This window comes from Homo sapiens, chromosome 4, assembly GCF_000001405.40.
Source record: "Homo sapiens chromosome 4, GRCh38.p14 Primary Assembly".
Classification (NCBI taxonomy): domain Eukaryota; kingdom Metazoa; phylum Chordata; class Mammalia; order Primates; family Hominidae; genus Homo; species Homo sapiens.
Genome location: NC_000004.12, coordinates 101,862,697 through 101,888,541, shown reverse-complemented (window position 1 = coordinate 101,888,541; position 25,845 = coordinate 101,862,697). Strand labels below are relative to the sequence as shown.

General features: G+C 34.8%; 1 protein-coding gene across 3 annotated transcripts in view, besides 1 other annotated feature; it reads right to left on the bottom strand.

The window, feature by feature from the left end:
• Window positions 1-25,845, bottom strand: part of BANK1 (B cell scaffold protein with ankyrin repeats 1) — a 284,083-nt gene that overhangs the window by 186,271 nt on the left and 71,967 nt on the right. For all 3 annotated transcript variants that reach the window (NM_017935.5, NM_001127507.3, NM_001083907.3), the window contains one exon: window positions 17,898-18,037. In NM_017935.5, coding sequence (NP_060405.5) covers window positions 17,898-18,037 — 140 coding nt within the window. The remainder of the gene's footprint in view (window positions 1-17,897; window positions 18,038-25,845) is intronic.
• Window positions 13,823-14,023: a silencer, noted in NCBI's record as "peak5084 fragment used in MPRA reporter construct". NCBI's record gives its function as "represses an SCP1 promoter by STARR-seq MPRAs in K562 erythroleukemia cells {active_cell/tissue: K562}" and the evidence as "EXISTENCE:reporter gene assay evidence [ECO:0000049][PMID:32103011]".

Here is a 25,845-nt window from a genome sequence, read left to right as displayed (position 1 = left end):
CGTGGAGAGAAGGATAAAATCTGAAATAGTATTTAAGTAAAGAATAAATTATGCTCCCATGGCTTCAAGATCACCACTGCAGTTCCCAACATTATACTGATGTTTAGCCAGAAAGAGGGAGGAAAGTGATGTGTGTGGGAGGTAGGGGTACTGGGAGAGGGGGCTACAGCCAACCATATCTATTCTTTTTCTCTGTTTAACCAGAAAAGCAAAAGTTTCAAAGATGTCCCCTTGTGTCTCGTTGTTGAAAACTCTCTCACGTGATATGTCTAACTGCAAGGTTAGTTAAAAATGTTGGAATCTGGTCTTTCTAGCTTCCATAAATGGAGGTAGGCCAAGAAGTATCTAAAAGGAAAGTCAACGGTTGAGCTGAAAACAGCCTTGCTCTTCTTCTTATAACAAATTGCTGTGCTTGTTTAAGTTTCACTAGTAAAAGAAAGGTCATCTCATTTGTTGCTCTGTTCTTAAATGTGTGCCATGAAAGAGAGCCAAAACAGCCGTTTAAAGTGAAATTTGATAAATAGTTTACATATCTTTAAAAAAATCTTACTGCAGCTTGTAAAGAAAATGATAGAAAAAAAGAGCAAAGCAAATGTTTTCTAGGGTTATGCAAAGATTTTTTAAAAACTTTATACGTGCTCAGCTCAAAGCAGTTAATTTAAAATAATAATGTAAATGTATAAATCTAAAAGAGATATTTTCTTTTATCAACTTAATTTTCTGTTTTGAATGAATCATTTCTTTGAATTGCAATATCTGTGACTATAAATATAAAAACAAACATATAAAACAATGAAAATGATTTTATATGTATTATTGATTAGGTTTTCATATAGTTGTAGAATCTCTTTAAATACTTGCAAGTGGTATTATTACATGAAGAAAATATGTTTTGAGATTCAAGGAATCTGCATTTAAATGCCTGCTCCAGGACTCATTAGCTATGAATCTCAATAATAATTAACTGACAGAATTTTTTAGAAGTTTAAATGTAAATATTAAATGTAATCTTGTAAGTGTAGATATGCAAAATTTCCAGTAAAAATTCTATTTTCTCTAAATACTATTATGTGAACTCTTAGATACAAAAACTCATGAAATGTAATCATGATATAAGAAGAGCATGTAAGTCTAGCAATAAGGAGATGTGACCCTCCAAACTGGCTTTTCCACTGACAAAACACATAGTCTGTTTATTATTTTTAAATTCTTAAATTAAATAACGCATAACTTTTAAATTAGTTAGAATGTAGATTTTGCTATTGCAATACAGAGACCCAAAGTGATAGTGGCTTAAACAAGAAAGAAACCCTGGATTTAGGCATCGAGGCCCTTTCTGTCTAGAGTTTCACTGTTATATATCATCTTCATGGTACAAGAAGGTTCATCCATCACTTCCTTGTCGGAATTCAAACCAGTCAAAAGAAAAAGCCAGTGAGGGAGAGAGCATGACTCCACCCATCTTTTAAGGACATGCTCATAAATTTGCACATATTGCTTCCACTGCCATGCCATGCCATTGGGCAACACTTAGTCATATGGCTACACCTAGCTTCAAGGGAGGAAATGCAATATTGCCATGTCCTCAGATGAATGTTATATTATGCTGTAAGAAAGGAAAAAAAAATACTGGGGAACGACTAGCATCCCCATCAATCATGCAAAATCCATGAACATCATAATTTATGTAAAGACAATCTGATAAAAGTTTTCTTAATACACTTCTGGAGTAATGACTGAAGCTTGATTGTGCTCAGTTTTTCAACATGCCCCCCCCCCCAATATATTGTTAATTCCTAATGTCAAAAGGTCTCAAAGTTTTAACTTGAGCAAACTTGAACAGACTCATTAATGGAGATACTTAATGACATTCATAATGTAAGAGACAAATCAAAGTGTTTCTATTGTAGGCATTAAAGAAATCAAAAGAACCATGCCCTTTCTTACCTTTGCCTCTTTTTAGTAACCATTTTGTAACAACGTACTGTTAAATATAAGAAGTTTTAAAACAAATATAGCAATAACATACTCAAAACAATGTCTCTCAAAAATGCTTTCTATAAATGATGCCATGATTTATTGAAAACATTTCAGAAATTTCTTTTTTAGTTTGTTTTGGGAGCCAGGTTCCAAGTTATGTGACAGAATCCATCTTGTTTATATTCATTTGATTCTTTCCTTTCTGGCCCTTCCCTTCTTTGCCTTGCTGTTTCTGCTTCAGCCAGAAGTCCCACTGCCTCCTCAAAAAGGGGCTGTGCCTGTGCTAGTGGCAACTGGAACAAAGGGCTCTAATAAGTGGATCACTTGAAACTGGGTGGGAAACTTAATGTATAAAATTTTTTCACCTCCTATTTGCCCAACAAAATATTTATTGAGCAGCCATGTGTCTTACAGTACCCTTGGTCCTGGAGATAAAACAGAGAACTAAATACAGCCTTGTAATGCATAAGAATATTTTGGTCAATGACAGACCTCATATACAACAGTGGTCCCAAATTATAACAGAGCTGCCTATGGATGCACTTTTTAAAAATATTTTATATTACATTTTAATTGTATTTTCTATGCTTAGATATGTTCAGATATACAACTACTTCCTATTGTGTTATAGTTGCCTACACTATTCAGTACATTAATGTTCTATACACGTTTGAGGTCTAGGAGCAACAGGCTATACTAGGCCTAGGTGTGTAGCAGGCTATACTCCTAGCCTAGGTTTGGATAAGTACACTGAGTGATGTTTGCACATGGTGTTTGCACAATGATGAAATTGCTTAACAATGCATTTCTCAGAACATGTTCCCATTGTTAGCCAATGCACAACTGTAGATAGTAGCTTTGCCCTTATTGACCGTGGTCATGAAAGGCAGGCATTAATTTGAGACATGTCACACACATAGATGTCAAATTAGAATGTGATCAGTTTTACAAAGAGATATACAGGGAGTTGTATAAGATGAGGGAAGGATTCACTGAGGAAGAGATACTAGAATAAAGAATTTAGAGGAGCAATTAGAATTAACTAGGTGAAAGTAGTGAGAATAAAGGGGGAACTGGAAAAGTACTTCAGTTAGATAGAGGAGCACATGCAAAGTTCCCTGTAGTAGACTGCATGGCATGGTCTGGGAAATAAGCAGACAACTGTGCCTGGAATGCACAGGGAGAGGGAGAAAAGTGAGATTAAACTGGAGAGAAGGAGAAGGGACAGTCTCTGCAGGGCTACATGGCTCATGTCAAATATTTTAATTCACCCCAAAATTGTAATCCATTGAAATGTTGGAGCAGAATTACATGCTGAGAACTTTGTTTGTAAAAGAACCTCCCAGGCTGGGTGCGGTGGCTCACGCCTGTAATCCCAGCACTTTGGGAAGCCGAGGTCGGTGGATCACCTGAGGTCAGGCGTTCCAGACTAGCCTGCCAACATGGCGAAACCCCGTCTCTATTAAGAATACAAAAATTAGTCGGGCGTGGAGGCAGGCGCCTGTAACCCCAGCTACTCGGGAGACTGAGGCAGGAGAATCGCTTCAACCAGAAGGGGAGAGGGCGCGGAGGTTGCAGTGAACCCAGATCGCGCCACTGCACTCCAGCCTGAGTGACAAGAGTGAAACTCCGTCTCAGAAAAAAACAAAACAAAACAAACAAACAAACAAAAACCTTCCAGACTATGAATTTGAGATAGTAGGAGGTGTGCAAGAACTTAAGGTGGAGGACCAATAAGGAGACTATTATAGTAGTTTAGGCAAAAGAAAAATCGATGGACTAAAGTGTTAGAACTGTTGAGATATGAAGAGAGGTGACCAATATTTAGTAAGTAACATTGATATGTATTAGTATGGATTGAATTTGTAGAGTAAGTATGTAAGAAGATATTAAGGAGACTCTTATGTTTGCGGTTTTTAAACTGGACTGATGAAGATGCATTTCCTGAGTTAGAGAGCACTGAAAAAATGGGGTTTAAAGGGAAACCACATTTGAAATATATCTTAAGAACCAATGAGATAACATGTAGAGGGAATATTTATCAAGGAATAAAGAGAGTCTAAGAATCAAAACTTGATCAATTAGTAACTTTATTTTATAGGTAACAGAATGAAGAAACTACAAAGAATATTGAGAAGGAAGCATCACAGAAGTGAGAGGAAAACCAGGAAAAGATGGCTCATGGAAGCAAAGAAAACAAAAAAAAATTGAATCAGGACAGTAACTTTGGTCAATGGTGTTAATTGCTGCTGAAAACTCAAGTTAAATTGACACAAAAAACGTCCATTGGATTTATTAGGAAAGACTTGAGCATAACTGATGTATACTCGTTTGTGTTTTGCTACCTAAGGTACCAAGGTTAACAAAATTAAATGGCTGAACTATAGGGAATTGGTGGGGAAGCATTCTTAGAAGTTACATTTTCCTTTTCAAATACTTCTTTTACTTATTTCCCATGTCATGATTTGGTTTACTGTAAAAGCATAATTTAAGAATTCCAAAGAGAGTTTAGAGTTTCCAAATTACATATCTACTTTATTTCTTTATCTTATTATTGATACTGTACTATAACTGTTATTAGTACAGAGGCCCACAAGATTGCATGGTGACTTTTAGAAAATACAAGCAAGCATATTTTTGGCCCGGGAATTTTTCAGTCTTCTAATTTCCAAAGAGTTATTGATGATTTGAGGTTTGTTCCTATCAGAAGCAGATCGTCTAATTTTCTCTAATTATCTTATTATGGAATAGTAGTTGTAAAGAAACATTATTAACTGTGTTTGACTTGTGCTTTGTTTTTCTGGATTGTTTTAAAACGTTTCTTCTTGTTTAAGACATGAATCCTCTAAAAAAGCAGGTAGTAAAAACCAGAGACTTCCCTTGAATGGGGTTGGTTACAGGCAGCACTCACATCAGCACACAGTCATCCTCTGCACGGGTGATCAAAGCCAACCTCAGCCAATGAGACAGGGCCACATAAGAAGCATGAAGATGCTTTAGTTTGGGATAAATAAAAAATGAAGAGTATTCATTGCCACTGAGTGATAAGAAACTATAAATTAATAAGTCATTAGTGAAATGTATTCTTAACAGTAGCTAAATATAAGTTATAACATATGGGGGCAATAACTATGAAAATAGACGAAGATGACTTATAAGATTTAAAAAATTGTAGAGAATCAATATTAAGGTTGTATTAATGGCTAAGTAATTGTACTCAGAAATACACATTGTCTTCTCACAACAGCTAGTATATCTGCTGTTAAATTTAACCAATTTATTATTTTTTAATAAATGCATAAGTGTACTAAGTGGTATGCTTCTGTTTAGTTCAATGATTTGTAACTGAAGTGAATATAATCATTAAATCTGAACTACCCCAATTTGGAATTATTTTCCTTTGACTATTATTACAGGTGGAAATGCAGCACAAAAGAAATGTCACTTATGTTATCAGTAAAATACAAGCTTCAATAGATATGCCTTATTCTTATTGACCCATTCTAATAAGGGACACAAATAATATGAAAAAGTGAATCCAGAAGTAAATCACCAAATTGCATTTTATTGACTGTTCTTTCTCCACTCATCTCAAACCTTCCATCAGGAATATGGAACAAGTAATAAAAGTGATGGAAGATACACAGAACTTGGACGATTTGCTTCTCCTTTGGACGGACAGCTAAGAAGAAATGCAAATAAAAGTGAAATAAAGCATACACAGAGTGCCCACATATTTGTAAGTCGATCTTCCAGAATAGAGAGTGGTTGTAATTCCCAATCTAAGAATTTTTTTGGCATAGAATTATGGAATACTTGAGTTGAAAGTGATCTTGGTGATAATATATTCTAGCATCTTCATTGTACACATAAGGACATTCCTTTAGCCCTAAGGAAACAGAGCTTCCATGAAGTATGTGACTGCTGATTTAGTAAAAGAATCTAACTCTTGCTCCTGCCTCATTCAGAACTAATGCACCTATGCCATGCAGCCACTTTCCATTAAAGGAAAAACAATATGCAGTCTTTTGAAAGAGTGGTACTATCTCAGGCCTTTTTGAATAGCAAATATTTCCTTAAAGGTAGGACTAGAATTGTATGCTGTTAAAAGTCAGTAAAGAAATGTATTAACATGGTGTATTACTAAGGTAGAAAATGAAGAAAAGTGTACAGAATAAGTTCTTAATTTTTCTAGTACCTGACACTTCTTAGAGTTCAACACTTTCTTAAGCATCAGATCATTTATTCAATTTCATAAATAAAAAACAAAGTATTTTAAGAGGGCAGCTTTCATTTCACTTTCTATCTTTTTTTGTTTTGTTTTTTAAATTTTAAATTTTGATTTCTGTGGGTACATATTAGGTATATATATTTATGGGGGACATGAGATGTTTTGATACAGGCATACAACGTGTAATAATCACATCGTGTAAAATGGGGTATCCATCCCCTCAAGCATTTATCCTTTGTGTTACAAACAATCCCATGACACTTTTTTAGTTACTCTAAAATGTACAATGAAATTACTGTTGACTAAAATCACTCTGTTGTGTTATCAAATATTAGGTCTTATTCATTCTTCTTTTTTTTTGGACCCATTAACCATCCCCACCTCCCCCACCCAAACCCCCACTAATCATTCCAGCCTCTGGTAACCATCCTTCTACTCTCTAGCTCCATGAGTTCAATTGTTTTGACTATTAAATCAACACATATAAATGAGAACATGCGATGTTTGTCTTTCTGTGCCTGGTTTAATTCACTAAGCATACCGTCCTCCAGTTCTATCCATGTTGTTGCAAATGAGAGGATCTCATTCTATTTTGTGGCTGAATAGTACTCCCTTGTGTATAAGTATGACATTTGCTTTATCCATTCATTTGTTGATGGACACTTAGGTTGCTTCCAAATTTTGGCTATTTTGAACAGTGCTGCAACAAACATGGGAGTGCAGATATCTCTTTGATATACTGATTTCCTTTCTTTTGGGTATATACCCAGCAGTGGGATTACTGGATCACATGGTGGCTTGACTTTTAGTTTCTTCAGGAACCTCCAAACTATTCTCCATAGTGGTTGTACTAATTTACTTTCCGACAAACAGTTTTCTCCACATCCTCACCAGCATTTGTTATTGCCTGTCTTTTGGAATATAAGCTATTTTAACTGGGGTGAGATGATATCTCATGGTAGTTTTGATTTGCACTTCTCTAATGATTAATGATGTTAAGCACCTTTTTGTATGCCTGTTTGCCATCTGTACGTCTTCTTTTGAGAAATGTCTATTTAGATTTTTTGCCCTTGTTTTTTTAAACTGGATTACTAGATTTTTTTTTCCATAGGGTTGTTTGAGCTCCTTATATATCCTGGTTATTAATCCCTTGTTAGATAGGTAGTTTGCAAATATGTTCTCCAATTCTGTGAGTAGTCTCTTCACCTTGTTGATTGTTTCCTTTGCTGTGCAGAAACTTTTTAACTCAATATTATCATATTTGTCCGTTTTTGCTTTGGTTGCCTGTGCTTGTCGGATATTTGTCAAGAAATTTTTGCCCAAACCAATGTCCTGGAGAGTTGTTCCAATGTTTTCTTTCAGTAGTTTCAGAGTATGAGGTCTTAGATTTAAGTCTCTAATCCATTTTGATTTGATTTTTGTATGCGGTGAGAAATGTGGGTCTAGTTTCACTCTTCCAATATGGATATGCAATTTTCCCAGCACTATTCATTCAACAGAGTGTCTTTTCCCCACTGTGTGTTCTTGACACCTTTGTCGAAAATGAGTTCACTGTAGGTGTTTGGATTTGTTTATGAGTTCTCTATTCTGTTGCTTTGGTCTATGTACCTGTTTTAACGCCAATATCATGCTGTTTTTTGTTACTATAGCTCTGTAGTATATTTGAAGTTAGGTAATGTTATTCATCCAATTTCTTTTGCTTAGAGTTGCTTTGGCTATTCTGAGTCTTTCGTGGTTTCATATAAACTTTAGGATAGTTTTTTTTCTATTTCTGTAAAGAATGTGATTGGTATTTTGATAGGATTGCATTGAATCTGTAGATTGCTTTGTGTAGTATGGACATACTAACATAGGTTCTTCCAATCCATGAGCATGAACTGTCTTTTTATTTTTTCATCTCTTCATTTTATTTCATCAGTGTTTTATAGTTTTAATTATAGATATCTTTCACTTTTTTGGTTAATTCCTAGGTACTTAATTTTATTTGTGGCTACAGTAAATGGGACTTTTTTTTATTTCTTGTTCAGATTGTTCACTGTTGGCATACAGAAATATCATTGTTTTTTGTATGCTGATTTTATATCCTGCAACTTTACTGAATTTGTTTATCAGTTCTAATAGTTTTTGGTGAAGTCTTTAGTTTTTTTCCAAATATAAGATTATTTCATCCGCAAACAAGGATAATTTGACTTCTTCCTTTCCAGTTTGGATGCCTTTATTTATTTCTTTTCTCTTATTGCTCTAGCTAGGACTTTCAGTACTATGTTGAATAACAATGGTGAAAGTGGGCATCTTTGTCATCTTCCAGATCTTAGAGAAAAGTATTTGAGTTTTTACCCATTCAGTATGATAGTAGCTGTAGGTTTGTCATACATGGCTTTTCTATGTCAAGGTATGTTCCTCCTATCCCCAGTTTTTGGAGGGTCTTTACCATGAAAGGATGTTGAATTTTACCAAATACTTTTTCAGCATCAATTGAAATGATCATATGGTTTTTGTCCTTCATTCTGTTGATACGATATATCACATTGGTTTATTTGCATATTTTGAAACATCCTTACATCCCAAGAATAAATCCCATTTAGTCATGATGAATGATCTTTCTAATGTATTGCTGAATTCAGTTTGCTAGTATTTTGTTGAGGATTTTTGCATCAATATTCATCAAAGATATTGGCCTGTAGTTTTCTTTTTTTTGATGTGTGTTTGTCTGGATTAGGGTAATACAGGGCTCGTAGAATTAGTTTGGAAGTGTTCCTTCCCCCTCTATTTTTCAGAATAGTTTGATTAGGATTAGTATTCAACCTTCTTTAAGTATTTGCTATAATTCAGCTGTGAAGCCACTGAGTCACAAGCTTTTCTTTACTGAGACTTTTTAGGCTTCAATTTAGTTACTTGTTATTGGTCTGTTAAGGTTTTGGTTTTCTTCATGGTTCAATCTTGGTAGTTTGTGTGTATCTAGGACTTTGTGCATTTCTTCTAGATTTTCCACTTTGTTGGTATATAGTTGCTCACAGTAGCCACTAACGATCCTTTGGATTTCTAGGTATTGGTTGTAATGTCTCATTTTTCACCTCTGATTTTATTTATTAGTATCTTCTCTCTTTACCATTAGCTAGTTTTGCTAAAGGTTTGTCAATTTTGCTTAACTTCTCAAAAGAAAACTTTTTCATTGATCTTTTATATTGTTTTCTTCATTTCAATTTTCATTTATTTCTGCTCTGATCTTTATTACTTCTTTTCTTCTACTAATTTTGGGTTTGGTTTGTTCTTGCTTTTCTAGTTCTTTAAGATGTATCGGTACATTGTTTATTTAACATTTTTCTTTTCTTTTTTTTTGACATAGGCACTTATAGATATAAACTTCCCTCTTAGTACTGCTTTTGCTGTATCTCATAGATTTTGGTATGTTGTACTGCCATATCATTTGTTTCAATACATTTTTCAGTTTCCTTCTTAATGTCCTTATTGATCCACTGGCCATTCAAAAGCATATTGTTTAATTTCCATGTATTTGTAAGTTTTCAAATTTCCTCTTGTTATTGATTTCTAATTTTACTCCATTGTGGTCAGAGAAAATGTTTGATACTATCTCAAATTTTTGACTGCTCTAAAACTTGTTTTGTGACCTAACATATGGTCTATTTTTGAGAATGGTCATGTGCTGAGGAAAAGAATGTGTATTCTACAGCTCTTGAATGAAACATTCTGTAAATATTTATTAAGTCCATTTGGTATAGTGCAGATTAAGTCCAATGCTTCTTTGTTCATTTTCTGTGTGGAATATCTGTCCGATGCTGAAATTGAGGTGTTGGAGTCTCAAGCTATTATTATATTGAGGACTATTTCTCTCCTTAGGTCTAGTAATATTTGATTTTATATCTGGTTGCTCCAGTGTTGGGTAAATATATATTTAAAATTGTCATATACTGTTACCGAATTGAATCCTTTATCATTATACAGTGAACTTTTCTGTCGCTTTTCATAGTTTTTGTCTTGAAATCTATTTTCTCTGTTATCAGTGTAACTACCCCTGCTCTTTTTTGGTTTCCATTGGCATGGGATATCTTTTTTCATCCTTTCATTTTCAGTCTATGTGTGTCTTTATAGAGTGCATTTCTTGTAGTCAACAGATCACTAGGTCTTTTTTTTTGTTTTTAATCCATTCAGCCATTCTGTCTTTTGATTGAAGAGTTTAGTCCATTTACATTTAAGGTTTTTACTGATAAGTAAGGACTTAATCCTGCTATTTTGATATTTGTTTTTTTGGTTGTTTTGTGGCCTTTTTGTCCTTCTTTCTTTTTGTCTCTCTTCCTTTTAGTGAAAGTAATTTCCTCTGTGATATAATTTAGTTTCTTGTTTTGTATTTGTTTTGTGTGCCCATTGTATTTATTTTGGTTTGAAGTAACCAAGAGGATTGAAAGTACTATTTTATTTATTTATTTAGAGACAGAGTCTTGCTTGGTCACCCAGGCTGGAGTGCAGTGGCGCAATCTTGGCTCACTGCAACCTCTGCCTCCTGGGTTCAAGCAAGTCTCCTGCCTCAGCCTCCCAAGTAGCTGGGATTACAGGCACCCGCCACCATGCCTGGCTAATTTTTGTATTTTTAGTAGAGATGGAGTTTCACCATGATGGCCAGGCTGGACTCAAACTCCTGACCTATAGTGATCTGCCAACCTCTGCCTCCCAAAGCAAATATTATTTTATACCCCATTATTTTAAGCCGATAATAATTTAATACTAACAAACATACGAGCAAAAATAAAACTAATACAGGATCTACACCTTAAGTTCATCCCCTGCTTTTAAACTTTTTGTTGTTTCTATTTATATCTTATTAGACTATGTCTTAAAAAGTTGTTGTAGTTACTATTTTTGATTGGTTCATCGCTTACTCTTTCTAATTGAAATAAGAGTAGTTTACACACCACACTTACAGTGTTACAGTTCTCTGTGTTTCTCTGTGTACTTACTATTACTAGTAAGTTTTGTACCTTCAGATGCTTTCTTATTGCTCACAGACATCCTTTTCTTTCTGATTGAAGGACTCATCTTTAACCTTAGGGAGTTTGTGAATTAAATGCCTTGAGGTAGTCTTCTTTGGGTTAAATCTGCTTGCTGTTCTATAACTTTCTCATGTTTGGACATTGATATCTTTCTCTAGGTTGGGAAATTATCTGTTATTACCCCTTTGAATAAACTTTCTACCCCTGTATCTTTCTTTACCTCCTCCTTAAGGCCACTAACCCCTAGATTTGCCCATTTGGGACTATTTTCCAGATCCCATAAGTGTGCCTGATGGTTTCTTTTTTTTTTTCTTTTTCTCCTCTGACTGCATATCTTCAAATAGCCTGTCTTCAAGCTCACTAGTTCTTTCTTCTGCATGACCAATTCTGCTATTAAAAGACTCTGAGGCATTCTTCATTATGCCAACTTCATTTTTCAGCTCCAGAATTTCTCCTTACTCTTTTTCATTATTTGAATCTATTTATTAAATTTCTCTGACAGAATTCTTAACTCCCTCTCTGTGTTCCTTGAATTTCTTTGCGTTTCCTCAAAACAGCTATTTTGAGTTCTTTGAAAGGTCACATATCTATGTTTCTTCATGATTAGTCCCTGGTGCCTTATTTAGTTCATTTGGTGAGGTCATATTTTCCTAGAGGGTCTTGATATTTATAGATGTTTGCCTATGTCTGGGCATTGAAGAGTTAGGTATTTATTGAAGCCTTCTCAATCTGGGCTTGTTTGTATCCATCCTTCTTGGGAAGGGTTTCCAGATTTTAAAGACTTGTGTGTTGTGATCTAAGCCGTATCTGTTTTAGGGGGCATCCTAAGCCTAGTAACATTGTAGTTCTTCCAGACTCATAGAGGTACTGCCTTGATGGTCTTGGACAAGAACTGGAAGAATTCTCTGGATTACCAGGCAGAGACTCTTATTCTCTTCCCTTACTTTGGCCCAAACAAAGCCTCCCTCTGTTCTGTGCCACCTGGACCTGGGGATAGACAAGGTTCCCTTTACTTTTCCCTCACTTTTCTCAAGCATAGAAAGTCTTCCCTCTTAGCCACTACAGCTGGGAATGTGATGAGTCTCACCTGAAGCCAGCAAGTCTCACCCAAGGCCCTTGATGTAGTACCTGGATATCACTGCTGTTTATTCAGGGCCAAGGGCTCTTCAGTTAGCAGGTGATGAATGCTGCCAGGACTGGATCCTTTCCTTCAAGGCAGTGGGTTCCCTATTCTGACCAGTGTCCTATCCTGTTGCGGCTGAGCTGGTATCCTATATGCCACACAAAGTCCTCCCCACTCTTCCATTCCTTTCCTAAAGCAGAGGGAAGGGGTCTCTTTTGGAGCCATGAGCTTTTGAGTCTGGGGTTAGGAGAGGGGTGATACCGTCACTCCTTTAGCCACTCCAGCTTGTGTTTCACTGGGTTGTGTGCCCCCAAGTCCACTGTCACTGGGCACAGTTGAGCACTAGGAGTTGCCTAGGAGTTGCAATCCTTTTGGCCTAGATTGCCTTTCAAGTTTATTTTGTGCCACAGACCACTTTAGCCAGTAGTGGAAAGGCTTGCAGGAACTCAACTTCAGAGTGCTGGAATCAATAATTCTCTGGCTAGGGCTGGTTTACATGCTCTCTCCACAAGTGGGTTATATGGTTTAGCTCTGTGTCCCCACCCAAATCTCATCTTGAATTGTAATCCCCATGTATCTAGGGGGGGACCCTGGTGGGAGGTGATTGGATCATGGGGGTGGTTTCTCCTACATGCTGTTCCCATGATAGTGAGTGAGTTCTAATGAGATCTGATGGTTTAAAAATGTGTGGCAGTCCCCCCAACCACCTCCTGCCAACATGTAAAATGTACCTTGCTTCCCCTTCATCTTCCACCATGATTGTAAGTTTCCTGAGGCCTCTCCCGCCACAAGAACTGTGAGTCAATTAAACCTCTTTTCTTTATAAATTACCCAGTATCAGGTAGTTCTTTATAGCAGTGTGAGAATGGATTAATACAGTGAATGTCAGCTGAGTTTGGTCCTGTTTTATTTTCTGTTATAATAGGGCAGCTCAGGGTTCAATGCCTCATAATTGCTGTGCTCTCCCTCTCCCCAACACACAGAAACAGTCTCTGCACCACACCTGCTCCCAGAGGATCAGTGAAGGTTGGCATTGTTGACTCAAGATTTTTTCCTACCTCTTCAGTGCCTCTTTCAGTGATATAACGTTAAACCAGATTCTTTAAGTGCTCACCTGATTTTTTGTTCTTATGAAGGTGGTTTTCTTATATAGACAGTTGATAAATCCTTGCAGGGGGACAATTGGTAGAGCCTTCTATTCTGCCAATTTGCTCCACCCCTTCCTCTCACTTTCTATCTTTATTTAAATTCCTGTTCTATAAGTTTTCACTTATCTACTCAATTAGCACTGTAAAAAGCAACTGTTTGTGTTTTCCCCACTTTTTAAGCAACAAATATTAGTTGCCCCCTTGTATCAGGAACTAGTTGTGTGAAAGATACTGGGCATGCAAACATGAAAAACACAGTGTTCATGCATTAAAGAAGGGAGAGGCCTGAAGAAAAGAGCATAATATGCTCTAAAAGAGTGGCTAGAACATAGCAATCATAGAGTTAAGAAGACATGGAAAAGATGCGCCTGTGAAAGGAGTTGATTCTGGAAAACACTTGGGAACCTGCAGTCTGTGTGACATTCAAAGAAGTTTGAACCTTCTTATCCAGTAAGCCACTGAAAGTTTGTAGCAAGGAAGTATCTTAGATAACACTGATGTATGGTAAAGCTTAGAGACTAGACGCATTTGTACCTCTTATCAATAGGAGCTGGTGAAGAGAAAAGAAGGTTTCCATTAAGCTTTTGAGAAAGATAGGGACCTAAAAGCATTTCTGAAAGGCAGGAGACTTCCCAGTATCTCTCGATGGGAAGAATCTCCTGAAGAATTCATTAAGGGAGACAACTGCTAACATCTAAGCTTTAATTCAATGAAGAAATTAACCTTTCAGGGAACTATTAACAGAAGCACAGGGAGAAGTTCTTCACGATGAGAGTTCCCTAAGTCCGTACCTTTCCTAATTCAAAACCCATTTGGCTTTACATTGTATCAAATATTTGCAGGCAGCAAATCAAAGATTGAATAATACATGCAATTGAATAAAAACAGAAGTGTACCTGACATGAAAATGAAAATAATATTTCAATATGTGTAAAGTAAAATATGCAAAAGGATAAATACGTGCAAAACAAAGATACCTTTTTACTAATAAGCAATATAACTAAGAAGAATTATTTGGTGTCATTTCAAAAATCTTTTACTGAAAAGGATCCTACTACTTAAATTAATAATTACTGTGTTCTTTTAGCCTTTCGATGTTATTTCCCTTTTATATTGTTATCTAGTTACAAAGTTAACTTTATTATTTCCCCAAGACATTTTTGTAAATAGGATGAAAGTCTCAAAGATTTTAATTACCTTAGTTCAATAGGAGTTACCAGTATTTCTAACACTAGCACTTCAATTCTAATTATCATCCCAAACTGGGCTTTGGATTTCTTTCATTTGAATCTCTCTTATATTCACTGTTTTAAGTGATGTTCTGGAAATTTCACCTTTATGAGGCTATGTTCTGGGATTCAGTGTTTATCTAACAAAGATGAAATGATTAAAAAAGCAGATAGATAATTAAACCATTCAGATTAGTGTTCTAAAACCTAATAGACATCATTAAAAATTAAATTAGAAAGCCAGATTTCTCATTATTACTTCTTTTCTCAAATTCACAGAACGCTCATTTTGCTATATGCGCAGTTTTTTTAAAATGATAATACAAGGTCTCTTATTACAAACTCAACAATTGCTGAAACTTAAATCCTGCAGATTTCTCATTAGTAATTCTTTCCTCAAATTCACACAATGTTCATGTTATTACATGCCCAATAGCTTTTAAATGCTCATGAGAAAGATCTTACTACTAATTTTTAGGATTACTGAAATCACATCTGCCATTAAAATTTACTAGAAAACTCAGGAAAGTTCTTACAATATAACATTTCAGCTAAGTAAGTAGGTTATTTTAAAAATTCAAATCTTCTGGCATATATTCTGACATATAAACAGTAACTATGCTAAATAAAATTACAATTTACATTGTGTTTTCAATACAGATGTTCAGAGTGAACCACGGGCAAAATATTCACATTTCTTAAAAAAAATGGCTGAGTAGCCCATGAAAGAAACAATTACTGAAATGTTCTAACCTGGAAAAGAAATGTACAGCTTTCCACAAAATGCTGGGTTTTTTTTTCTTTTTACTTTTCTTTTTTTTTTTTTCTTTAGTTTTTGAGACAGAGACTTATTCTGTCACCCAGGCTGGAGTGCTGTGGCGTGATTTCAGCTCATTGCAACCTCTACCTCCCGGGTTCAAGCGATTCTCTTGCCTCAAGCACCTGAGTAGATGGGATTACAGGCATACATCACCATGCTCGGCTAATTTTTGTATTTTTAGTAGAGATGGGGTTTTGCCATTGTCAGCCATGCTGGTCTTGAACTCTTGGCCTCAAGTGATCCACCTGCCTCGAACTCCTAAAGTACTGAGACCACAGGCGTGAGTTACCATGCCCGACCACAAAATTTGTTAAATATATATAATCTATGTGGGAGCAAAGGCAAATACAGAAAGGAAAACCAAATGCCCTGAAGGAGAAACACAGTGTGGGCTAGGACAACTCCCTCGAGGTCAAACAAATCTAAAATACACCATGGCAATGCCTCTGCAGTTGCTTCCTCAGGGGTAGAAAGTGCTTTTCAACTTCTCAGTGAGTTCACAGATACCCTGTGTGGTCCAGATGCCAGAAGATTTAGACAAACCCCATGTCACACTTAGTCCAAGATGTTTGGGAGACTGACTCAAGTGCAGCCTTTCCTTCTATCCCCTGTTACAGTACAGCTTGATCTGGTCTGAGATCCCAGTCTCAGATTTTGTTTTCTCTAATCCCACAATACTTCTAGGTGCCCTCATGACAGTTGCAAAACCTCTAAACCTGCCTTAAATTACATAAATTAAACAATCTCTTAATGTCTCTCCTTGCCATGCCATGGTTTGCTGCCACTGGGTTAGAGTAATTCTGTCCATCATTACTCAGACCTCTGACTTAAAATGGCTCTCTCCTGATGGTAAAACCTGAATCATCCTGTGCCTGCCCAACATTCTCCCTTCTACAGGCCGCCAGAGCTTGGTGGTAGAGAAAAATCCTTGAGAAAAGCAATGACCCTTTCTTTCCCCTCATTTCCAGTACAGAGGGTAAAAATGAAACAGCATTTTTCTACTTATCTAAAAACTAGCAAACTCACTTTTTGTTTTCACTTCAAGCTGTAAAAGAAATCATGACTTGTGTATTTATAGCATCCTGACCAATTGTCCAGGAGTCATAAATTACATTTAATTTTTACTATATTCAAAGATCCCCACCCACAACAGAAAGACCAACAGAAAATATGTTTGGAGACTACTTTACTTCTACACTGACTGGATAGTCACAATGCAATATATTACCTTTATTAATCTTTTTTGTTATGAATATAATTTTTAAGTAGAGGATAAGGTGGACTTGTCACAAGAAAATGAAACAGTCTGTTTTTTAAGCTATTACTTTTCTACTTGCTTTGGAATTACAATATAGACATTTTGTCAAATGTCCTCAGACTCTCCATTTTGACAAATGTTATTTCACTACCTGTCTTAATGTTTACCTTTTCTGTTGTTCTAAAATATGTCGTTCATATAATATAAAAATAAAACCCTAATAGAAAAATGTGTCACATGAAATAACAAATCCTCCAATTCTAAACTAGTTTAAACACATAAAGCTTCATGAAAACTTGTCAGCTACATTATCATTGACAGTTTTGTTAAAAACCTTACAGGTTTTTATGGTAAATTTGAAGATAGGTTTTTATGGTAAATTTTATGGTAAATTTGAAGATACTTCGACTTCCTTTCTCTACCCTCTTCTACCTCTCACCCACGCAAAAAACTGAGACAAATAAGCAAAGTTACAATTCTAGTTATCAAATTGTTATAAATAGAAATGGCATTTCACTCTGAAAATTTGATGGAATAAGCACATATTCCCAATAAACATCACAAAGAAAAAATAATTTTCACAATCAGATAACAATGATAAATGAAACTAAGAAAAACATACACTGAGCTTAGATGTGTCCACATGAAAGTAACAATTTCTAGATTGACACCACACGTTCCCTTTTTGGTGATATTTTGGTTTGTCTAACTCCTTAATCTCAAAGCATGAGACAGATGATTAGACTTTCATTTTACTTTGTGTTATGCAGATCTGAATAAAGAAGGAATTCATTTCTTAGGAGTTCTTTCTAATTGCTCTCCCTTTATCTGCTTGTAACAGCTTTAAAATGAGCCCATCACAATGGCTACCTTGTAATGAATAAGCTGTTTTCCATTGACATTATCTGTTTTTTTTTGACCTAGGCAAAGTAATTTGTCTGCATTTTGGCACAACAGAGGTTGCCTCTTCCCTTCCTATTGATTGGTAGTAATTCACTGTTATTCAATCCACATTCAAACTTATACCAAAGCATGAATCCTCTTATCCTTCATTAGCTCTTCAGCTTACATTATGATTAACTTCGTGGAAAGATTAACTTACCTGGCACAAACTCTCTCCTGAATCTGCCATTCTGAATAGGCATTCCTTTGCCTTTGCTGTTGGGTAGTACTTAATTTTGGTTGTAGCTTTAACGATTCCATCACAGTAGACATTGACATGGACTGAACCAGCAGGAAACTCTTATGAAAAACAAACAAGGGTTAGGGGCAGAGTATATAATGCATATTCATACTATTACATCTTTTAGAGAATATAAAAGAAGCCTTTAAAAATTCATAACACTTTTACTCATCTCTAGCACTTAAAATCATTTTTAAAATTCTTGGTAGTTGGAAAACACAAAATGAAATGTACAATTTTAGACTTATTTGCTTAAAAATAAACTTAAAATATAAAAACATGTTAAAATAACAATAAAAGTAAAGCACTAAATTATTTGTCCCTACTTACTTACTAGTATAACTTTTCTTTGTAATAATCTATAATCTTTACATAATTCTTTAGAATTTGGAAAAGTATAGCCATTTATCAAAAGTTAGGTATTTATTATTTATCTTATGAAAACAATTTAATTAATTACAGGCAAGTGTCTCAAAAATAGTAATTTGAAAGAGTACAGCTGATTTAAATGATACAATTTGTATTCAATTGACTGCAATGAAAAATCCTGGGAAAGGCAAGGTTTAATCCCCTGATACTGAAGTACTGTTTACATCATACATTCATCCAAAGCCTTTTTGAGAACAAGTTGTTCAAAATGAATGATACACTACATTGTGAATTGTGCTGTAATATATGAGCAGAATTAAAGTTATATAAGAATTTAGGACTTTCTATGAAAGAATATCAATAAACAATCATTTCAATAAAAAAGTTATTGTGTTTTAGTGTAAGAATACTAAACAAAATGTAATTCTTTAAATTCATCTGTGGAACAAATTTTAAGTGCTTTTAATCTGTCATTGAGATATTTCCCAAATTCTCCCAGAAAACTGTCACTCAAATATCTAGGGTTAGGAATAGGTCATTAAATATAAGAGCTTTGAATATTTAAAAGTTTTTAAGGATTAAGTATTAATTTCACTTTATCTCATGAAGCTGTTAAAGGACTTCTTATAATATTGCTGAGGGAAACTTAAATGCAACGAAAGCAATCTTAAGCTTAACTAGGTCAAGGAGCTGAAATTTCTTCCTCATATTTCTTGAGTAGACACCTCGCCTGTATTACAAAGAAGATGCATGTAGAAAAATAGGAGCTCTCTCTTCCCAAAGAAGTATCCATCCAATAGAGAATGTAAGAGAAATTACAACAAACAAAAATGAAAGTTTTAAAGCACATCTCATCAGCTACAGCAGTACGCATATGGTAATGGAAGTTCTGGAGTTATTGGAGTCAAATGAAATCAATTTCAGTAGATTTTATAAAGATAAATTTAAATTTAAATGTTATGATAAGTCATAAAAATTATTTTGAAATAAGATATTAATTTTGTTTATCACAAAAGAGATTAGGAGTTTTACCATGGGGAGTTAACTTTTTGAAAGAAAATCGGTAATGAATCAGGAGAGGTATATGGTGAGATTTGCTTGGTAGTTTTTTGATACAGAGTAGATAAATATTCTATATATTTTTAATCTAACATGAAACTGAACTGATTTATTTCTTATATATTGAATCCTTAGTTAACTCAAAATTTTACTGGTGGATCTACCGATAATGATGTCGATTTTAGAGTAATCCTCCAATGAGATGCCTTTTAAAGGATTGTGTTTTCTGTATACATTCTCATATTTGTTAAATGGCAGTTATTAAATCAATACTTAATTACTGCTCTCAACTGTATGTCAGAGAGAATGTCTTATAGATTCATCTGGTTGGAAGGCCCCCTCAGTAATATATTATTGAACTGACCTTCACATGAGCAGTACTCTGTTCTGCTTCCACATTATTTAACTTTAATTTTGGTTCACTATGATGACTGTATTTTACAGCCTCTCAGTAAAAATAAAATCCAATTAATGTAAGGACTCAAATAGAAGAGAGTAAAATTAAATGTTGCTGTTTACCATCTAGATGAAAGTAGTCAGGCAACACCTAACCCTGTAAGTACACACAAATACAGGTCAAGATCTCCAAACCAAGCAAGTATATCACAAATCTTATACAATAGTGGACTTGTCTATTGCTCTTTTCAATTCCAGCAGCTTTTGCTTTACATATTGTGACACTCTGTTGTTAAGTGCATACCTGTTTAAGAGTTTTCTGTTTTCTTGGAGAATATATCTTTATCATTATATAATGCTTCTGTTCATTCATGATAATTTTTCTTTTTCTAAAATCTTCTTTCTCTGAAATTAGTACAACTTTCCAGCTCTACTTTGATTAGTGTTAGCATGGTATTAGGTTGGTGTATCTGTGTTTTGATCTCTGTCATTAATATTTGAATATTTCTTGTGCTTCATTTTCTCATTCTTCTTGTATTTCAATTTCATTACATTACTTTCAATGCCATTTGCAAAACCGCAATTACTTTTGCACCAACCTCCAACCTACCTTGCTCCAACCCTTTCACTTTTCACTTTTGATTTACCCGTGTCTTAATATTTAAATTGAGTTTTTTATAGACAACATATTATTGGGTCTTGCTTGTTATCCATTCTGGCAATCTCTGTCTTTTAATTGGCGTTCTTAGACTATTCACTAAACTTAAGTAGTTCTTACTTGGCTTCACTAACGTGGTTGGGTTATATCTCTCATACTTGTAATTTTTATTATTCCCTACATTTTTCTTTGTTCCCGCTCTCTACCCCAACCTTTTCTGCTCTCTGTCAAAATTACTTGAGAATTTTATAGGATTCTATTTTCTCTCTTCTTAGCCTACCATTTATAGCTTTTATTTATTTATTTATTTATTTATATTTATTTTTTTTAATTATACTTTAAGTTTTAGGGTACATGTGCATGGCACATTTATAGCTTTTAAAAAATTTTTAGTAATTGTCCTAGAGTTTGAAATATACATTTTTAACAAACCTAAGTCCCTCCTGTCCCTTATGATATTGCTGTCATTACTTTCACTTATCCATATGCTGTAATCACCCAACACATTGACAGTGTTTACTTCAGACACACATTTATCTTTTAGATCAATTAAAAATAAGGAAAATGAAATATTGTGTTTTTACCTTCATTCATTTATTCTCTATGCTCTTTCTTTACGTAGATCTAAGTTTCTGACCTACATTATTTCCCTTCTTTCCCAAAGAACTTCTTTTAAAATTTCTTGCAGGGCAGGTCTGCTGGTAATGAACTCCTTCATTTTTCTGTTTGAAAAAATCCTTATTTCTACTTCATTCTATATTAAGGATAATTTCACTGAATATAGAATTTTAGATTGGTGGGTTCCTTTTTTTCACAATACTTAAAATATTTTACTCCACTATTTTCTTGCTTGTGTGGTTTCTGAAGAGAAATTCAACGTAATTCTTTTTTTTTTTTTTTTTTTTAAATTTTTTTTATTATACTCTAAGTTTTAGGGTACATGTGCACATTGTGCAGGTTAGTTACATATGTATACATGTGCCATGCTGGTGCACTGCACCCACTAATGTGTCATCTAGCATTAGGTATATCTCCCAATGCTATCCCTCCCCCCTCCCCCGACCCCACCACAGTCCCCAGAGTGTGATATTCCCCTTCCTGTGTCCATGTGATCTCATTGTTCAATTCCCACCTATGAGTGAGAATATGCGGCGTTTGGTTTTTTGTTCTTGCGATAGTTTACTGAGAATGATGGTTTCCAATTTCATCCATGTCCCTACAAAGGATATGAACTCATCATTTTTTATGGCTGCATAGTATTCCATGGTGTATATGTGCCACATTTTCTTAATCCAGTCTATCATTGTTGGACATTTGGGTTGGTTCCAAGTCTTTGCTATTGTGAATAGTGCTGCAATAAACATACGTGTGCATGTGTCTTTATAGCAGCATGATTTATAGTCCTTTGGGTATATACCCAGTAATGGGATGGCTGGGTCAAATGGTATTCCTATACTCATTTCTCTACAGGTAAGGTATTCGTTTTCTCTGGCTTCTGACAAGATTTTCTCTTTTGTTTTCAGTTTTCTACAGTTCGAATGTAATATGAATAGGTGTCAATATTTTATATTTATCTTTCTTCATGTTACTTGAGCTTCCTATATCTGTATTTTGATCTGTCATTAATATGCGAATATTTATTGTGCTTCATTTTGTCATTCTTCTTGTATTCCAATTACATGTATGTTAGACCTTCTGAAATCATCCCACATTTCTTAGATGTTTTGTCCTTTCTTTAAAAAACAAACAGACAAAAAAACTTTTTTCTCTTTACCATTTAAGTTTGGGAAGTTTTCATTGACCTGTCTTCAAATTCAATGATTCTTTTCTGACCTTTGTCAACTCTACTAGTAAACCTATTAAAGTTATTTTTTAATTTTTGATACGGTGGTTTTGATTTCTAGAATTTCCTGTTGATTCTTTCTCAAAGTTTATCTCTTTTTATATAATCAATATGTTCTTTCATACATTTTCCATGTATGTCATATCTAATTCTAGTCTGATGCATGCTTTGTCTCTTTAAATTGTGTTTTATCTTGTCTTTAGGAATGCCTTGCAATGTTTGGTTTATGACTAGATGTAAGGTAAATACTCCTGTAGTGAAAGAATTTATAGGAATCCGTTTAGGAGTTGGACTGTATTTAATGTTTGTTGTAGCTATCAGTGCTAGCAGCTTTAAATTCCTCTAGCATTCTTGTTTCTGTCTCTCTTTTTGATTATGTACTTTTCTAAGTACTTTACCGAGACAGAGTCTGAATCTTGCTGGGTTTTTTTGGTTGGTTGTTTGCTTTTTTAAACAGTAATCCACTGTCATTATGCTGGAATCCTGTTGTGGTAACCATAAGGTGGTAGGGAAGGAAAGCATTCTACATTCTTATGATTAAGTCTTAGTCTTTCAGTGACTCTTCGTTGTGACTTTACAAGGGTTTTTGCTGTGGCATACCTTCCCCTAATCCCCTTTAAGTGAGACAGGAAGGCCAGAGGGAGCCACAGTGAGATGATGTCCTTTCCCAGCTGGAATGAGGCTCTGGTGAGGTGTTTTCTTCTGGAGAGTAGGCCTGTGCTATGGAGAACATGCTGGGAGTATTTCACCACGATTATCCTTCCTCTGACCCCACCAGAGGTTCCATGGGCTCTTTCTCAGATCTTCATTGTAAAAACCTGGTGGGATTCATGGAGGTAAATCCTACAAAAGTGTGGGGACATCCTAAAACTACTACCCCCAGGAGTTTCTCACTCTCAAACTAATCCATATTCAGCTTTCAGACATTCATCAAAATTAACACTTAAGTGCTCCTACTAGTTTGTGGCTCCAGTGGCTTCTGCTCTAGGTAAGCAGATTTCAAATGACACTCTCTTAGTTCATCGTTTTCTCCAGCTTTTGGAATAGTGGATTGTCCTTGTCAGAGTTCAGAAGACAATACCCCAAAGTATGACGTGTTGGTGTGCTGCATACTTTGAACTAATGAAGACTAAAGGGCCTCAGAAGCAAGGTCTTTCTGACCTTCCATCCTCCTGTCTCCAACCCTTCTTCCTGCCCCTGATCAAGTCATAGAAGCCAGAATTCCTCTTCCCCAAGGCAGGTCATAGAAACTAGAGCTCCTCTTTCCCAAAGAAAACCACAAAACCAAAAAAGGTCTCCCTTCTCTCTTCTGCCTTAAAGATCCTCATTTCAGAGAAAGCCTGCTCCATACCTGGGAGGAAAGAATGTGACATAGAGAAGCCAGCAAAAATCTGGACAGACAGGACTTACTGGGTCCTCCTCCCCTCAAGCCTGTTACCACTAGTTCATATTCTTTTGTTCAATCACTGTCCTACACGGCTGTTTATTCTTCGTTGAACCTAAGCATAAAAATGGACAGTTTCCCATTGGTCCTTGGGTCTTCATTTCTGAAGGCTCCCATAAATCTTTGATTAAATAAATTTGTTAGGCTTTTCTCTTGTTAATCTCTCTTTTATTACAGGAGTGACAACTGTGACCCTTATGATGGTGAGGAAAGGTATCACACCTGCATCTAACACCTTGCAACTTTAGTTCTCTAATGGGTTCAAGAAACGTGGTCGATTTTGTAGTGGTTCAGCTTTTTCTTGTAAAAATGGGCTCTTTACTGTTCGAGCTAAAACCATTCATCTAAATATTACTTGTAAAACCTTTGTTTTCCTTATATATCTGTGCATATGTACTGGGTCATGATGTAAAATGTAGTTCTTACTAGTTGTTCTTAGTAGGGTTCAAAACATTTCAAAATACAGTGACATGAAGCAGAGAAAATAAGGCTCTGGGCCCATTTCTGCCAAGGCAGTTTCCATCCAACCAAACAGGTTCAGGTAACCATCTTGAATATTGCTACAAAGCAGCCAACATTTTGGGAGAAAATTTCTCATCAATTTAAAGAATACAACAGTTGAAACGAATACTTAAATAAGTTTAATTATGATAGTTGGTAAACAGTGGTTTATTTATTTATTACAGATTTGTTGTTTAATCATGAAGACAATAGTATGTCTTGGTATATCTTGGAAGCATGGCATATTCATTTTCTGCTTTTCTTATAATTAATTTGAACTTTGACATGTTTTATTCTTTATACTGCTCTCACCCAGTAGGTATACTGAGCAAAAATTCTTAAGTAATGTGAATAATTATATTTGACATCTTGATCTGCTATTTGGGAAATATTATTTAAGTGCTTCTTAATTTGCAATATTGATATTTCTATAGTGTCTTTAGTCTAACTAAATTTAAATTCTGAAACTAATTAGTTAGAAAATTTTATTCATTAAACCACTTAAGAATGTGACATAATGAAGTAGGGGGCATTGAGACAAGAAAGAAAGAAAAGGAAAGAGACAGAGTTTTTCTCATTTCACTTCTACACATGCTTATCCATGACAGAAAGCAGTGTCTGAAATGTTTATAAATGTTTAGTATGGAGTTTTTCCTTCTTATAATCCAACTTCAGTCTAAGCTGTGCAAGGAAATCCATACACATGCCTTCCACACAAACAGAAGTCTGTAAATGCTTTGTAAATAGACTGCATAATCACTATATTTTAAAAGGAAAAAATGTTCAAAATGTGTTTGACATGATCTTTAATTTAAAATATTTTTGCCACATTTCCAAATTCATAACAAGATTGAGCATCTTTTTATTTCAAAATATTTTATAAAGTTCACATTTATGAGGTTTAATAAGATGATTTTATTCTCTGATCAGGAAAAGACATCATAAATGTAAAAACCAAGCAGTTTTACATTTATATTAAAATATCCAGAAATTAGTATTAGATTAATATTAGATTTTGATTTTAATACAATTATTGTTGCAATTATGGTTATTCCATCTGGAATTTTAAATCTGATACAATTTATCATGCTATAAGCAAAGCTGGATAATCAAATGATTAGCTTTGTAAGTGAGATGAGGAAAAGATGAGAAGATTATATGTACAAATTGCACCATACTGATAAAATAATGGGAAAAAATGCTTTTCAGAGTAACAAAAATATACCAGAGACTTGGGGGAAAAAAGAAAGAAAGGGAAAAAAATAGAGTTTATTAATAAAACTCAAAATAAATTGCTAATCCAAATGTCACAAAAAAGCAAACAATTTTAGTCATATGTTTAGTGGTTGCCATAAATTAAAATGCTCTCTGCTGACATATTTAAAAATGTATGATGTTACTGGATGTCATTTCATTACACAGTATACAAACTAATTTCTCATAATTTACATGTTCTTACTTTTGCAAATCCAGATTAATAATAACAACCTTGGGTATGTGAAAACTAAACACAGGAAACACCTGCAGAACAATATTAGTTTTTGTAAGGAAGTGAAACCATTTATTATAAATTTATTGGAAGGAACTCAGGATAATG